Source organism: Homo sapiens, chromosome 18 (assembly GCF_000001405.40).
Source record: "Homo sapiens chromosome 18, GRCh38.p14 Primary Assembly".
Lineage (NCBI taxonomy): Eukaryota > Metazoa > Chordata > Mammalia > Primates > Hominidae > Homo > Homo sapiens.
The window spans coordinates 42274256-42292903 of record NC_000018.10 but is presented as its reverse complement, the minus strand read 5'-3'; the positions used below and the strand labels follow the sequence as shown (position 1 = coordinate 42292903).

The window sequence follows — 18648 nt, the reverse complement described above, 5'->3', positions numbered from 1 at the left end:
GTAGCATGCATTGGTACCCTTTTTGATTGCTGAGTAATATTCCTTTTTATGGATATACCTTATTTTGTTTATGCATTCACCAATAGATAAACGTTTGAGTTGTTTTCACTTTTTGACTGTTCTGAACAATGCTGCCATGAACATTCATGTAGAGATCTTGTGTGGCCATATGCTTTTATTTCTCATAGATACCTAAGAGTGGAATTGCTGGATCATATGATAAACTTACATTTAACACTTTAAGAAACTCCCAAACTGTTATCCAAAGTGGCTGCACCATGTTACATTTCCATCAGTAATGCACGGGAGTCCCTAGACAGATTTTAAATTCCTCAAAACCAAATTATTTTGAGAAAGATACTTTTTGGAATACCCTGTCAAAATTCTATTCATCAAAAAGCACTCCAAGAATACATGTATCATTTTTCAGTTTACATAGGGCAAAGAGGAGGCAAAGAAATAATAAGCCAACACCCTCAACGTGATTTTCCCAATGGGTCTAGGGAAATACAAAAAGAAAAGTAAGAAAGTATTGAAATGGGTACTCCAGAAAGTAAATAACTACACAAGAATAACAAATAGTTTATTTTGAATGTGACTTTAAAGTTATCTGTGGGGTGTTAGGCTGCACATGAAAATTAGTTTTATAGCTTTATAGTCATACCACATATAATAAAACGTCATAGGTTTTTACTCTTAGAGGTCAAACTGAATTAGTAAAAAGTCATTATAATGAAATGCTTGAAAATAAGAGTGATTGTTTTTAAAAGCATGTAACCTCACCAACTGTAGAAGTGAACATCTTTACCAACTGTAGATTCTTGAATGTCCCTAGGCCTTTGCTCATTTGTGTGGCTTTTTACTGTGTTAATTTTCATTGATCCTTTCTCAGTTATTGACATTTATCTGAGATTTCAAGTTGTCATTCAAATACCATCCCTCTTAGATTTTCTTCTAGTTCCCAGTCCTTAATTCTTTTTTATACATAAATTTATCTAGCATAAAATTTTCACATCAATTATGTCATTTAATTGCATGAGGTAGGCATTATTATTAGTTTTACTTTACAGATGATAAAAACCAAAGTTTATGGAATCTATATGAGCTGCTATATACTGCCCAAATAAATGGTAGAGTTGAAATTCAAATCCAACTTTCCTGACTCCAAAATTCCATTTTTATCAGGGCATTGCCTCAATCCTCTAGTTTTAACTTATTTCACTGCTATTGAATTATTCCTTGGGTTCTAATGAGTTGTTTTTTAAAAAAATAATCCTTTCCTACTGGTTCTAAGGACATAGAGAGCAAGGATTGTATTTTACTCACTTCTGCATTCCAGAAGCACCTAACATAGGCTTTGAATATAGTATTCAATACAAAATGTGCCAAATAAATAAAAATGTACGGACAATAGAACACCAGCTAGACCTCCCGAGACAATGTTACTGAATAAACTCACTTGCCTCTAATTAGTGACACCAAGGGTGCAAAACAAGGGGGCTTTTTTTTTCTTTAATTAAAACTGTCATTTACTTGAAAACTCTTCTTTCAAAAAAAAAAAAAAACACAGAGGTAAATGTCAATTGAGCTCTGCCAAATTACCATTATCTCAAAAGTGAAGAGGTAGATATTTCTGAAACCATGACATCGAAATTTATTGCTAGCATGAATCTCAGAGAAAACCTTTCCCCTATTAGTTCTAAAAATAAGAAAAACCAAAGCCAGAGAGCATGAGTACTGTGCTCCGTCACACATAACTAGCTAGCAGCAAACCAGTCCTGTGACTCCCTGGCCTCCACTGCATCTCATCAGGACACCCTTGATTTGATATTGTGTGGCAATACTCTGAGGACTATTTCCAGCTCTTCTGTCATTTCTATGACCTTGGGCAAGTCACGTAACTGTCTCTCTGTCTTTTTCTGTTTATAAAATAAGGATAATGCATCTATTTGGAAAGCACTTTAAGTCACGCTGATTAAAGATGCTATTTAAAGTGCCAGGTGCCATTCCACAAATAAATGGAAAACAGTAGAAAGAGAAGACCCATACTCAACCATCCCCAGTCTCATCTGTCCCCCAGTCTCGCTCAGCTCTCCTGGAACCAGGCAGGCACCTAGCCAAGTGGAAGGATGAAGCTAAGCAGAAGATGATTAACCTTGGATCAAACCTCTTCATCACAAGATAATAATTGAAACAAATATTCCTCACAATCTCCCACACACACTATTTCCTAGGACACATGATTACTTCCTGATCATTTTTTTACCTTTGTTTAATTGGGAAAATGTAATTGAATCATTTCAAATAGTATATAGTCAACTGGAGATTTGGCAATGACCTTGTGTCTGTGAACACAGGGAAAACTGCACAGTCTGCTGATGAGGAGAATTGGGCAGTTATTAGGTTGTTTTCAGTGTTGCTAGGATACATATAAGGAATGATCCATTAATGCAGTTCAGTTAGGAGCAGCTAACCATGTCCCTTTTGTGCAAAAACTCTAGGGAAAATAAGTCAGTTTACTTCTGTACTCTGCCATAACAAAATAAATGTGACATTGACGCGTGTGACAGCTATTATCCTTCATGATTAAAATAGATGGTAGATAACTTCACAAATCCATTCGATTAGTAAAGCTCATATAATAAAACCAAGTTTTGAATGTTTCTTCTTTATCTTTAGTCAAGGCAGTGGTAACCTCAATAATGGATGGCCTGGAAAGCTCTCATTTAAGTAGTATGTGGAAATGTGAAAACAGAGTTAAATACAGGTTTGCAGATTTAATCCATAATCTCACATATTATTCATACTTAAGTCTGATGCACAATCTTAAGTAAACAGAGCCAGGAACAGTATTTGATAAACATGGGCACTCAATCAATAGTTCTTGATGAATAAATGAAAACCAGAGGAAGATTTTTACTCATCTCTCCTGGATTAAGGAATGAGCTCAAGTACAATTTCAAAAACAAAGAAAATATCTCTCCTGATATGCTTATGTATAGAAAAATTGAATATCACATACCTACTCTTTACAATACAAATTCCAGATTGATTCAAATTTACATCTCTCCCTAAACATCACTAAACTGATATCCCAAACACACATCACATTACTGCCCCCGATGACACGCAGTGCCCCTCCTGTGTGAAGCTGCACTTCTCTGCCCTCTGTTGACTGAAATGCTATTTATTCTCTAGGCTTCTGCTTTAAGCCCATAATTGCTTCTCAGAAGCATTCTCTCTCTCCTCCGACCCTCTCCAACCCTTATTCTATCAAGTACATAGCTTCTTTTATCATCTTTTCCTTACCTTTATGCACTTGAGGGCCTCAATGTTCATCCATCAACCAGGACCACATCTACTTCTTCGAATTTTTCACAACCAAAAGAACAATGTGCATCTAGGAGAAACTCAAAACTGGTGAAATTGGGGAAGAAAGAAGACAGAGGGAAGAAAACAGTAAGAAAACAAGGAAAGGAGTGATGAGGGGAGGGAGGGAAAACCACCAAGTCAACACAATCTTATTTTGTGATGAATTTCATAGACTCAGCAATTAAACAATGCTTTTTTTTTTTTTTTTTTTTTTTTTTGGTTTTGAGACAGTCTCCCTCTGTCACCCAGGCTGGAGTGCAGTGGTGCGATGTTGGCTCACTACAAGTTCCGCCTCCCAGGTTCACACCATTCTCTGGCCTCAGCCTCCCGAGTAGCTGGGACTATAGGTGCCCGCCACCACACCCGGCTAATTTTTTTTTTTTTTGTATTTTTAGTAGAGACGGGGTTTCACGGTGTTAGCCAGAATGGTCTTGATCTCCTGACCTCGTGATCCACCCGCCTTGGCCTCCCAAAGTGCCGGGATTACAGGCATGAGCCACTGCGCCTGGCCAGACAATACTTTTCTAATAGCAGATAATGTGTTTCTAGGCAGTTACAATGGAGTTGAGGAATTATCTAATGAGGGTAATCATAGGTAATAGTCAATCTGTACAAATCATGTATGTAAGCCATTTCTTCTTCTAAACATCATGTGGCGTGGTTAGCATATTTTAGGCCAAACTGATGTCTACGTAGTGTGTGTGTGTGTGTGTGTGCGCGCGTGTGTGTGTGTGCGTGTGTGTGTGTGTGTGTGGTGTTTAGGATAGGTGTTTGGAAGAGACAGCATCAATACCTTACCATCCTATCCAGGCCTACTGCTGCTAAATAGTGATATTTACCATATTTTAATTGTAGTAGAGAAGAAAGCAGATTGTCCACCCATGTTTCTAGCTTAGGAAAAGGGTTTTTAAAGGCATGAGTTTGAGGAAAGGCCTCTCCTGAATGGGGAGTTATTAGATATATGGTAGAAAGAGAAGGCCTATTTCAGTTAGGGGTGGGAGAAGAAAGAAAGTAAGAATAGAGCCAGATTTTGAAAGGCCTTGAGTGAAGCTAACAAATGTGCATTGTATGCTGTGGGTAAAAGTGACGATGTATAGAATTTTGAGTAGGGATGTGATGTGATCAGATTTGCTTCTAGGAACTATGACTCAGGTTGTGAGGGGTGGGAAGACCAGACCAATGAGAGAATAATGAAAAATGGCCTGTAGGCTGGTGAGAAGGAGACAGTATTCCAGATGAGAGAGAATGAGGGCTAATTAAGTCAGTGACAGCAAGAGAATTCACTGGCTGGTGAGACATTGAGGGCAAGGGAGAGAGAGGAGCCTGGATGCATGTGGCCAGGTGTGTATTACTCCAGGCTGAATAGCACAGGCTCTGCAGTGTGTATGCTGCAACCTGTCCTGGAAGCAGAAGGAGGCTAGGCCCAGTGGTGAGAACAGGCCCAGTGGTGAGAGAACAGCCCCTGTGAGGGAGTTTCCTAAAGGAAAAGTGGGATTTCCCTACATGATAGTTTGTCATAAGGGATGGAAGTGAGGCTCCTTCAGTAAAATCTGTTATCCATGACAGCCTGTGGCAATGGCGCTTTGGGAAACTGAGGCTTGTGTACAGAAACTCCTCTCTATGTTCTTTCCGTGGAAGCCAATATAACAATAGCCATAGGGAGAATGGACACCTTCAAATTCCAGGCAATAATCAGAAGCAAGGTAGAGAACACGAAGGGGCAGCTGAAAGAGATTGTGAAAACACTAGTGAGAAAAGAAGATCCTGTTTCTGTAGGAACTGACCCAGGAACTAATGGGAAAAAAAATCCTGCTTATTCCAGAGATAGGTGATCTTTATGGAGGAGAGAACAAAGGGGAGATTGTGATACTAACACAATAAGTGCTATCCAGATAGAAGACACTAGGGATGAATAAACATTAAAAATGTATTGGAGCCACATACCTAAAATTCTCCACTACTTAATATAGCAAAAAAAATTGTAGAATGTTAATAGGGCAGGGGTTGGCAAACTGTAACCTGTGGGCTAAATCTGGCCCACATCCTCGTTTTGTAAAAAAAAAAAAAAAGCTTATTGGACCACAGTGATGCCTGTTTGCTTTTATTTTATTTTTACATTGTGTATTATTGCTTTCATGCTACAACAGCAGAGGTGAATAGTTGTGACACAGACCATATGGCCCACAAAGCCTAAAATGTGTACAATCTGGCCTTTTACAGAAAAGGCCTGTTCACCATTGTTACAGAGGAAAAAGCAACAGCACTCAACCAGTTCTCAGAAGAACCTGATCCTGTCTTAGCACTATGCTTATTGTGTCCTTGGGGAAATCACTTAATATTGGTAAGTCTAGGTTTTCTAATCTGTAATATGAAACTAATGGTTAACTCACCTGCCTGACAAGGTTATGGTGAAGCTCATATCTGAAAATGTAAGTGTACATTAAAAACTATAAAGGTCTGGCTGGGTGCTGTGGCTCACACCCGTAATCCCAGCACTTTGGGAGGCTGAGGTGGGTGGATCACCTGAGGTCAGGAGTTCGAGACCAGCCTGACCAATGTGGCAAAACACCATCTCTACAAAAATACAAAAATTAGCCAGGTGTGGTGGCGGGCGCCTGTAGTCTCAACTACTCAGGAGGCTGAGGCAGGAGAATCACTTGAACCCAGGAGGAGAAGGTTGCAGTGAGCTGAGATCATGCTACTACACTCCAGCCTGGGTAACACAGCCAGACTCCATCTAAACAACAACAAAAAAACCAAACCTATAAAGTTCTCTATAAATGTATATAAATATTTCTATTTAACCATACCAATACCAGAGTGTATTAAATTAGGAATTATATTATATTTTTTGGTGTTTGGGGAGGTAAGATGTTCACATGATCATAAGGTAATATAACTTATAAGGTAGTTAGTTGCAAGTTTGTTGATTGTGAATAGATATTTGTAACTTGAAATTCATTTCTCCCCACAAATAAAATTACAAAGAATTATTGTTGCATCTTGCCTTTTCATCTGACTCCAGCCTCAAAGACCTGCTAGCAGTTGTCTGAATGTGGGTTCCGTGTCACTCCTGTGCCTTTGCTCCTAGTGGGCCTTGGTCTGGACCCCTTCTCTTAGCAGTGCCTCCCCACCCTCTTTCATCCGGATAACTCTTTCTGTGCCTTAGATATCAGCTCAGGTATCACCCCAGCAGGAAGCCGTCTCTGACACCCCTCTCCTGGATGACTTATCATTCCTAAAGGTTTGTTGAATGGCCATTGTAAATCTCTGTTATTGCATTTTTCACGGTATGTTGTAATTAACTGTACATGTTTTTATCCCCTCTAAACTAACTAAGCTCCTAGGAGGACCAGAAATGTGTCTCAATCAAATAGCTTCCATTTACTGAGAAAACACTAGTGCCAGATAATTTTCCCTTTTAATTTTTCCAACTCCACAGTGAGAAGGAGGCTTTTCACCCCATTTTATAGAGGAGGAAACTACAGACTGGAGAGAAGTTCCTTGCATGGAAGGAAACCACAAATGATTGGTAGAGCCATACCCAAAACTGTTAGAATTCCTCCCCCACCAAAAAATCCGACTCTTAGTCACGTGTTTATTCAGGGGTCCTCATTTGCTGAAAATTTATTATCTGATTCCCACAGTAATGACATTTTAGGGAGGAAAAAATTATTTAAAACATGAAAAGATTTACTAATAAGCCAACTATCTACACAAGTATATCCTTTTACCTCCCCACAGTTCTTAAACCTAGCCTACCCATCCTTCCTGCTCTACCACTCTGGTAGGTGTCTCTTGTTTATTTGCACTGCATTCATATATGAATATGGAATGCAAAATGACTGCAAAGTGAAATCATACATTTTGCAGAAGATTCAAGATTTCCTGAGGTCTATGAAAATGATCATAGAAAACCACTTAGAACACACAAAAGCCCTTGAAAAATCAGTATAGAGTTAAACTAGTTAACAACAAAAATGAGAAAAAAAAAAAACAGAGAGACAGAATAAGTGCTTCAGAAAAGAAAGATTTAAATAACAAAGAATTAAGGTGGCTTTTTGATATATCTTATGAAGCCCTCAAATACTTAAACAGAAAGGACTTTCTCCATGAGGGTGCTGGAAAAGCCAAATGTAAAGCAAAGGATGGTTAAGTTGTTGCATATTCTTTATTTTTCTTACAAGAATTAGCTCAGAGTTCCAATTACAATATAAAATCAACTTTTCATATTTTTATATTTTATTTTTCAAGAGTTTGTTTTTTCTCATGAAATTTTTTTTTGTGTTATTTGCCATGAAACTCTCTGCCAATCACAGTACTCCATTTCTTTGTTCATAGTGATTTTTTTTCTTTTCTTTTTTTTTTAGATGGAGTCTCGTTCTGTCACCAGGTTGGAGTGCAGTGGCACAATCTCAGCTCACTGCAACCTCCGACTCCCTCATTCAAGCGATTCTCCTGCCTCAGCCTCCCAAGTAGCTGGGATTACAGGCAGGCACCACCATGCCCAGCTAATTTTTGTATTTTTAGTAGAGAAGGGGTTTCACCATGTTGGCCAGGATGGTCTCAATCTCCTAACCTCAGGTGATCCACCCACCTCGGCCTCCCAAAGTGTTGGGGTTACAGGCATGAGCCACCGATTTGTTGAGGATAAGCAACCTGGCCCAAGAAGAGCAAACTCATTGCCATAGAATTTTAGAACGAGAAATAAAAGCATATTTTTGGTTGCTCAGACTAAAACAGGTACAGCTAGGAAAAGCCTGTGCTCAGATTTCCAGCCATGTGACCTAGAAAAACTACCTGCAGGGAGACAGACTAAAGCACAGAGGCACAGCATCAAGAGAAAAGGGAGATTCTGTCCTTGGTCCCAACACCTAACACATTCCTGCCCTTGAGTCTTCCCGGTAAACTTGAAATAAATTATCCTTGTGGATTCCTCTAATATGGTTCCCTGAGTTTTTATCATAACTGAAAGCGTCTGAATCAAGCAAAAGATGCCTCTCCAGTCATACTGGAGCATTTCTCCAGCCATGCCCTCCACAGAAACCCAAGGGGATGTGTCTACCTGGAGCCCACATTCCCCAGAATCCTATTCAAGAACCCCTTCTCTGTACTATTCGATTCAGGGTAGATTGAGTGACTGGTGTAGATGCCCTTGGGCCAAAGGGATTGCTCCAGGAAGGCTGTGGGAAGGGTATAGGTAAAGCTTAATCTGGGGCATTTACTGATGCCCATATAAGGTACCTCAGAGTGCAGAACAGAGACATGGGTGGGAAGCCAAAGATGTGGTCTTAGGCCAGAGGGGTGTGTTCAGGTATCTAAACTCAAACCTGTCATTCCAGGTTATTATAAAGATATATTAGCCAAGGAAGGAGAAAACAGAATGCATTAGATTCAACAATTCACTATCTTGATGTATAACTCTTAAATATTTAGACATATGGAATGTAAGCTTCCATTTTTATTCTTCCCTGGATGCCGCAAACATTGGGAGCAGGTATGACATATTAGGATAAAGGATTGTCTTTGAGTCAACCATATTGAAGTATATATCACGACCCCAGAACTACACTAGGTTCTATGCAGGGCTTAAAATTATATCTCATGAAAGGTACTGAATTTCATGAGTTACCTTTCCAGAAACAATGAAATTCCTCTATCTAACCTACTTAACTAAACCTATGTCAAATTTAGAAAGATCCTGGTTAAAAGAAAACCAAGAAGGTAAGCTAGCACCTTGCATATAGGTAGACTTCTCTTAACAGAACAAAACAAGGTATCTGGTTTCATATTTTAAGATAATAATTATTCCCATAATTTTAAATTATGGGCGGGAAGTATGAATCATGAAACCTAAAAGTCCATCAAATTATCCTTAACCATAGAATGTTTCTGTTATTTTTGCCTCTATTTTAGACTTCATCTGTATGAGAATATTAATATCACTTTTTAATTGAATTATACGTATGGCTATCTAAAATTCATATTTGATAAAATTAATAAACTTCATCTAGTCAAGGCCTAAAATGCCAACTATTTTTATCATGTCTTGTCTTCAGTAAACAGTGCTTAATATTCTTATAAAGGTTTTGGTCCAGTTATAATGAATGTAAGAATCCAACAATAGAAATAAAATAAAAAAACAAAAACTGTTAGAGTGGGAAGATACAACACTAGGTTGTTTGGGCCCAACTTTATCACCACCACTTTACAGAGAACAAAGTTGAGCCTCAGAGAAGTGAAGTAACTGGCCTCAAGTAACAACTTATAATTGACAATCCTTACTATTTTTTTATTCATCTTCAAATTTCACACATCTATTTTAAAACACTTGCTTTTTAGATTTAAAAACAAAACATGTCATCTAAAAATAAATTATAGGACACTAAAAAATGTAAGCAGGTTGGAAATCAGCATTTTTCCAAGTGACTTTTTAATGAATATTCCTTTAATATTCTAATTTCTGCAAACATTTAGCATAAAAACTTTTCCCAGATTTCTCATTTTGCTTAAGCATTTATAAGTAGCCTTTAAATATCTTTCTGAAGTTGCACTGTTTTTTATCCCCGCCTGGTCTACATTATGCCTCCCATTTACTTAACTTCAGAGTAAGTGGTGCTGATTCTATTTTAATTATCATGTCAGGCTTTTTCTGCAATTGTTGCACACATTTAGGTTGCACATTTAATGGTCACCATGCCTAAGGCCAAGCAATAAAAAAAGATGCTAAAAATAAAAGTCATTTTAATTTACAAATATCTAAATTCCAACAAGATTCTAAGTATAATAAATGCACACACACACACAACTGGAAAAAAACTAGGTGCAAGGTTAAAAAAAAACACAGAATTATCATGTAGGACATAAGATGAACACTCACAAACAAACAGAATGATCAAAGAGATGGGTCATGTAGAATCTGCTCTCAAAGAACGTAGAATAGAAGCTTCTTGAGGAGACACTATTTTTAAGCAAAAAGGCATATGAGTAGTAAAACTATAATTTAAAAATCTAAATCAGTGCCATGGAAGTTCAAGGGAGAAAGAGATGAGTGCATGATGAGAGAAAATCTTAAAAACAAAACAAAATAAACAACAACAAACTAGGAGTTAGTACTGAACCAGCTAGCCAGAAAGAATTATAAGGGTGTTAAGGGTTTCATTTGTTGTCTCATTGCCTCTTGAAGAAATCTCAGCTCCCTCATCTGTAAAAGTGAGATAATGAGAGTACTTTCTGCACAGGGTTGCTAAAGACTATATTGGATGCAGCACTTAGCTTTGTGTCAAACTCTAGTCAACAGTGAATGTTAGGTTTGCCCCACACTTGTCATTTGACAAGTGTTAGAATGGAAGATGCCATCATGTTACACACCCTGCTTCCCTTACTTCCAGGAGGCAAGTGCTTTGAAACAGGCTTGAGAAATTTGAAAATGGATAAATGATTCATTAGAGCCTCCAGGAGGCACCTGATCTAAGCTGGTTTAACCATAGTACCTCACTTTCTAGCCACAGTGACTTTCTAGCCACAGAGGAACAAATTGAGACAAAATTAGACCATATTTGAACTACATAATAAGGAAAAAGCCCCTGTCCTCTCTGATGACCACCTGTCCAGGTTGTCCCAGGACTGAGGGGTTTCTCAGAATGCAGGATTTTCAGCAGTGAAACTAGGAAAGTCTCAGGCAAACTGGGAATTACTGGTCACAGCTGGAAAGATATGAGCTCCAAACAGCCTATGGAAGAAGCCAGATCACAGTAAGAAAAATGATGACAATATACAGAAAGAGGTGGAGGTGGGAGAAGAAGAGAGTGCTGATCTTTGGTCTGAATCATCCTCAAAGCCAGCTAGTCCTCCGTTACGCTCAAGTTTGATTACATGATGCAATAAATTTCTCTCTGTACCTGAGTAACTTGGGTTGGGATTTCTATCACTTGTAACCAAAGGAATCATAGTTGATATGCTGACCTATGGAAAATTTTTCATAAATATTAACTATTATAAACTAGGGAAAACAACATTTCTTGGTAGAATCTAATAATAATTACTACAGAGGGGAAAAAAATAATTCTGCACTCATGGAGACACAGCTAGAGACCACTTGGGCTAGCTTGAGTGATACTGTTCCTTCTACTGACCAAAAAGCTGCCTCCAAAACAGTTTAAAGTCTGGGCAATTGCCTATGTCTAGAGCTACACTAATGACTCTCTGTCCACTAATTGCATCAGAGGAAGTTCAACAGTCTCAGCTACTATTCTGATTTCTGGTGAATGATTTGCAAGTGCAGGCTGCTTGCAAAGGACAAAAGATGTTTTCCTCAAAATGGCCAACATCTATGCAACTCTGTACAGGTTCAAAAACAGGAGGTTTTCCTGATTATTCTTAAAAATCAAAATTGTTCAGGAATGAGAGGGAATACATCATTACCTTAAAAAATATTGACTGCTTTGAATACTTTACATTCCAGAATCCTAGATAATGATTTACAGTTCTTTCCATATACTCTATAACTTGAAGTAGAATATCTTCAAAAGAAATTTTCATAATTTATCATTGTTTTCTTTATAGATACACAATCAACATTTTCATTATATCTTTTTATTTACATATTTTTAATACAGGTAATTGCAGATTATCTCCGGAAGTTGGAGAATGCTATGCCTATCTTTGGTTCCATTTTTGTAAAACAAATTTGCTTAAACCAAGGGAGTGATCCATGCACAAATATCTCTCTAGAAAACATTATTTTTTAAATGTAACATTATTAAGTACTTGCTGGGTAGCTTCAGCTCTCCCTACATCTTCTCCTGAGACAAACCTGAAGGAACAGGCCCCATATGGATCAGCCCAGTCTCATAGCAAAGAGAAAAGACCAATAGAGGAATCCCTTAATGTCTCTTGAAGATTTGCCTGGAAGCAAAACATATCCTTTTTATTCACATTTCATTGGCCAAAGTAAGCCATATGAAAAAGCCAGTGGAGTGGGAAATTATAATCTGCTCACCAAGAAGAGGGAAGGAGAAAATTGTATGGAACAGTAATACAATCTAAAAGACTTTATATTACTCTAATGGGCCTCTCTCTTTTCTTTACTGGCATTATCTTCCTTCTTTCTGGCAAGTTCTAACCCAGTGATCTCTCAACTCCCAGCCACACTCCCTAACTTGCCTCACCCTGTTTTGTTTTTATTACCCCATGTCCTCAGCCTCAAGCATCCCTTCTTAAACACCTTGCATTTATATAATAAAATAATTTATCAGTATAATGGCTAGTAATGGCTCAGAATAAAATCCCTCTTAGATAAAATTTGTTTTATAACTAGGTCTTTCAAAGTATCTCCACAAATATTTCTAAACACTTGTTATGTATAAAATATCATGCTAGGTATTATACATAAATTTTCTTAAAAATCTATTAATTGGGCAGAAAAGACATAATGGACAAATGTTAAGTAAAATAAAAAATCTAAGTAACATGTAAAGACAAAAATAGATCTGTCAAAAAGCAGTGAATGATTAATTTTCAAGGACTTTTCACATATGTCAATTGCTTCTGGGTATAAGAAAAGAGTTAAGTGTTTTTTTCAATTAAAAATTAATTTTTAATTAAAAAACTGTTCAGTTAACAAAATCAACAACAATACATTGTCATATAAATGTCTCCAGCTTTCCCTCACTGTCAACTAAAGGAAGATTAAGGAAGATTTGGCTTTGCACTGAGATTTTTCTTTTTCTTTCTTTTTTTTTTTTTTAACCTCTCATGACCTATAATGAGGGTTCTGTCTTACCAGGCAAGCTCTTCCAGGGTTTATGGTACAGAATGGGAAAGAAAGAGACATAGATAAAGATACATTGGATTAGGAATGAAGAAAGCCTGATTTGAAAAATCCGCAAAAGATATAAGAGTTGCTGTCTTTTGTGAGAGAAGCTAATTGAGGAAAAAAAAAAAAAAAAGTAACGTTTTAAGAAGTATTTTGTAAACTTTGTATCCATCTTAACCAGTTCAGGTTACTACTATAGAATACCGTAGACTGAGTAGCTTACAAAACAAACGTTAATTTCTCAGACTTCTGGAGGCTGGAAATTCCAAAATCAATGTGCTGGCAGATGCAATGTCTGGTGAAGGCCTGCTGCAAACAGATGACCATCTTTTTGTTTCTCAAATGGCAGAGAGCAGGGAGAGGGGGTTTGCTCTCTTCCTTTTCTTATAGGGACACTAATCCCTTCAGGAGGGTTCACCCTCGTGACCTAATTACCTCCCACAGGACCCATCTCCCCAAACCATCACTTAGGGCTTTAACATATACATTTTGGGGGGACATAAACATTCAGTCCATAGCAGTATCCTTTTCCATTTGTTGAAGAAATGCAAATAAATATATTATTATTTTGCCATTATTTTGGAATTAGACCCTTCTTTAACTCTGGCATCACTCAGAGATTGGAACACATGGATTACAGCTTCCATGAAGTTACTAACATACATCTACTCAGCAGGAATATTTGTCAAGTGCACCTTGAAGGGCTTGGGTGCACAGTGGTAAGCAAAAGAAGCACAGTACCTGACCTTAGGAAGTTAAATCATAGCTAGTTCTCATGGAATGAGAAGATTTCGAATATGAAAAGAGTAGGGGAAAGCACTGAGAAATATTGAAAAGGGAAATACTTGGATCAACAGGTTTTTCAATGCTCCTCAAATTATACTATGAAGTCAGAAATGTACTCTCTGTAAAATTAATAGAGCCATCCCTATAAACCATTTATTAAGTATATTTTATGTGCCTGGCAATTTCCTATGTACTTTACTTGGACGATCTCATTTTATTCATAGGATATTAGGTAGATATTTTAATATTATCCCCAGGTAATGAGTAAGCCGTGGATTGACTGACCCCTCCAGGCACCTGCTTAATAACTACAATATACTACCTTATGCTCTAATGAAGGCCTTGGCAGTTTACTCCATTTTTTACCCAAATGTGATGTAGCTCCTTTCAGTCCCCACCCTTGAGAAAGAGCTGACAGCACTGTATGTGCCATGAAAACTTCAAGAATCCTTTTTAATTTTAGATGACTCCTTATCTATGTATCCCCACAAATGTCACTTCCAAATTTCTTCAGGAAGGAATTCCAGGGCTGGTTTGCTTTGCTTCCAACTTAAGGAAACTGGAAAATGCGAAAATACTTAGGGCCAGCATTCTCTTTGTAAAATGCTTTTTTTTTTTTTTGAGATGGAGTCTCACTCTGTCCCCCAGGCTGGAGTGCAGTGGCGCTACTATCTCAGCTCACCACAAGCTCCGCCTCCCGAGTTCACGCCATTCTCCTGCCTCAGCCTCCGGAGTAGCCGGGACTACAAGCGCCCGCCACTACGCCCGGCTAATTTTTTGTATTTTTATTAGAGACAGGGTTTCACCATGTTAGCCAGGTTGATCTCCATCTCCTGACCTTGTGATCCGCCCGCCTCAGCCTCCCAAAGTGCTGGGATTACAGGCATGAGCCACGGCGCCTGGCCTGTAGAATGCTTTTAATCTCAAAGTTCCATGACCACCCTAATTTGTATACTTTACAGTAATTTTTATGTATATATATATATAGTCATTTAAGATAAACAGAGTGAGGTAGATAAATTAAGAATTATAACCATTTGTTAAAAGAGTAACAATCCTCCAAGAAATTAAATGACTTGCCACCAAATCTATGCACAGGTAAGAAGTGGCAAAACCCAGGTTTTCATACCCTGGTCAAGTCCTCTTGCCTCCTACTATTCACCAAGTTAAAGGTCAGCTCATACTAATTGGTGCCTTGGAGTTGCTGCCTAGGGAGTAGATTTTCTCAACTGCTCATTCTATCCCTATCCTCTCCACAAGTTACACCAGGGCCACAAAAGCAATTACTGCTTGAGTAGACTGGAAAACAGCAATTTTAAATGATTAAAAAAGGGAAACATTTTTAAAAATAATTACTATCATTATTTTTTATTTGGGAGGAAGAGAGAGATAAATATATTGTGAATCAACAGAAGCCTTGGCCCATGTTCTCTAAGCCTTATTTATCTGGGAGTTGTTTATCTCCCAGAGTTCTCCCTCAGAGGAAAGAATAATAATTATTGTTTAATTATAGCAGAAGTAAATTTTCTCTTCCAGTTCTAAAGCAGGATGACTCATAGCTCTTCATTTATTAAAAAATAAAATGTCTTTCAGAGAAAAATATTTTTCAAAAGCCAGAGTGTGAAAGGGGCTCAAGACTTCCATCTGGGACGCTCAGTGACAACAGAGCCATTTTCACCTGACATTACTCACCAGTGGGTAATGTTCACACCTGTGCAAAGTGTAGTCAAGAGATGCATTTTCCTACTGGGACCATCCTTCTGCTACTCAGAACTGCATGAGACAAGGAGCACTTTTCTCTTAAGATGTTTCCAGCTGAGCTATCCAATTACTGGGGTGTATCTATCTTCTGAGCAATAGAGGGCCCATCAGAACGTACCTGATTCCACAGTAAATCTCTTGTGTTGTTACTGCTGATGATTTAATTTTTGCTTACTCATCTAGGAACCTGGAACCTGGTCCCACAAACAACATATTCTCAATTTCTAAGCCTAACAGGGTTCCTCAGCCCCAGTTGATCTTCCAGTCCTGCTATCCCTCCCCAAGCTTCATCAGGAAGATTTAAAGTTCAGTCAGACCCACTCGAGATTTCAGTCTCCAGATTCAGTATGAAAAAATCATGGTGATATCACCTGTATTCATTTATAAGGAAATGAGACAAAGACTAAACATAAAAACAGATTAGACAGAGAACCTGATGGTGGATATACTGCTCCCTGACCATCTCATTTGCAGGAATTATTGTTGTTGGTGTATTGTATACTGAACTTTACTATATCCTCTCCTCATTGAAATGCAAACTCTGAGTCTAATGAGACATGTCCCACCTGTCCGGCTGTCAGGCTTCCTGAAAGGCGTGGGAGGAACCCACAGGACAATAAGAGGAAAGCAAATGGGCAGAGTCAGACCTGATATAATAAAACTGCCTTTTAAAATATGGATTCCAGAGCTGGGTGTGGTGGCTGATGCTTATAATCCTAGCACGTTGGGAGGCTGAGGTGGGAAGATCATATGAGGCCAGAAGTTGGAGGCTGCAGTAAGCTATGATCACGATGCCACTGCACTTCATTCTGGATGACAGAGCAAGATGCTGTCAGAGAAAGAAAAGGAGAGAGAGAGAGAGAAAGAGAGAGAGAGGAAGGAAGGAAAAGAGAGAAAGAGAGAGAGGAAGGAAGGACGGAAGGAAGGAAGGAAGGAAGGAAGGAAGGAAGGAAGGAAGGGCCAGCCCAGAATTTTATAGAATCTTTTTTTATGATCCATTAAGAAACAAGGTGGGGCTTTGTGTGTGTGTGTGTGTGCGCGCACGTGTGTGTGTGTGTGTGTAGGCAAGAAAGCCCTTCATGTGGAAGGGCACAAGTAATGATTTTATAGTGCTAGGAAGAAAGGATTTTCAGACCAGCAGAATCAACATGCCATAAAATCTAATCTAATCTAGTACTTTGGAATAAGTATTACCTCAGAATACTAACAATACCACAGCAAACGTAAATTGCTTTCTAATTTTAGAAAGTAAGATAAATATAAACACTCTTATGAAAGGTAATATGTAATGTCATTAACATCTTAGTGTGAATTAATTTAAACAAAGAGAAACAGACATGTGTGAAAGAGTGTGAAGAAAGAGAGGAGTTAGAGAAAGTGCAGCTGCTGGACACAGTTTGACTACATGTACATTTTACCAAGGACATGGCCTGGCCAAAGACATAGGCACCCTCTGCTCCCAAACCAACACCACACACATCTTGCACAGTACATGACACACATCTTTGTTCAAATCCTTACCTAATAATCGAAGTTTTGGTAGCTGAGAGTTTTTTTGCCTGGAAAAAAAATGTTTACAACACTGATCTTGTGATCTGTGGCAGTTCTAATTTTAACAGCATTTTCTGAGAATAGAAAAAATACTCTATTTCATTTTCTCCCTTGACCTACTTTAGCATATTCTGCCCCACTTAATATTTTCTATCCTTCACATTCTCCCTCCTGCATGTTACACAAAGAGATACTGAGCTGGAGAAAATAAGCTGCATTTGTCTTTCTGCCTCTTCCCTAAAGAGGGGTGTAGAAACCTGAATGCATTCATTGATCATGCCTCCTGCTGTGCCCAGCCTGGCCTGCACAGGGTGCCCATCTTACAGAAAATCTCCTGTGAATCAGGAAGACACAGAAAGGAATTTCAAATTACCCACTCTCCACCATTGTCCTTACATTACACATTTTCCTGAGATTACACGTTACATACTTAGATTATAATTACATATCGCCCTTAGATTACAGCTGAGTAATCTAATAAACCAATCTACTGAAATGTGATAAAGTGAGCCAATTATTTCTAAGATGTCTGTCACAGAACAAGCAGCCCTTTATTGCTTACTCACTTATTTTGCTTGTGGCCTAGCAAAGTATCTCTTGTGGACCAGTAGCATTGGTATTACCCGGGAACTTGTTAGAACTACAGACTCTCAGGCTTAGGCTGACCTCATCAGAGCCTACATTTTAACAAGCCCCTCAGGTGATTCATATGTACATTACAGTTTGAGAAGCCTTGGCCAAGTTGCTCATTAAAATCTTGCTGTTCCTGACTGCCTCAGTGAAAAAGTTACTTACCAGAGTATTCCAGGGAGCCACTTAGTGACAAAAGCAAGTTCATCCTACTGTGGGCCCCCATCAGACACATCAGAAGGAGAGAAGTCTGGGTCTTATTATTCTAACTTATGGAGGTTGCTTGATTTCTGACTTGGCAGACAAGCAACCTCTTCAGAGGTCTTCAACTTACCCACCAGGGGTCACCCTAGTTGGTTCATCTGTGAGACCTAGCCTGGATAAACATATGTACTCCCTATCCCTTTACAAATGAAAGTCCAACACTTTGTTATAAAGAAAATTACTTTCCAACTATTAAATAAATGATAGCCACTATTTTTGTTGGCTACTTGTTTTGGGAGAAGGCATTTCAATAGATTGTTGTTCTATACTCCTGAGATTTTTCCTGCTGCTGAGTTTTTTGTTGACATCTTGTAATTATGATCTTTTTAATATTACAGGGAGAAAGAGAAATGAAAATAAAATAGCTACATTATGCTGAGCTCAGGCAGATAGAAGAAATAAAATCAAGACCTATCATATTTAGAGGGAAAAAGTAACAAATGTGGAATTTCCAGGAATTCCTTGGG

At 38.3% G+C, this 18648-nt stretch overlaps 1 long non-coding RNA gene across 5 annotated transcripts in view; it reads right to left on the bottom strand.

The window, feature by feature from the left end:
• The window catches only part of LINC00907 (long intergenic non-protein coding RNA 907), a 504759-nt gene that overhangs the window by 398523 nt on the left and 87588 nt on the right, over positions 1 to 18648 (bottom strand). For 2 of the 5 annotated variants that reach the window (NR_046457.1, NR_046456.1), the window contains exon 4: positions 3310 to 3400. The exons of the other annotated variants lie outside the window; for them this stretch is intronic. This is a non-coding gene — a long non-coding RNA (long intergenic non-protein coding RNA 907). The remainder of the gene's footprint in view (positions 1 to 3309; positions 3401 to 18648) is intronic. 5 annotated transcript variants of the gene reach the window in all.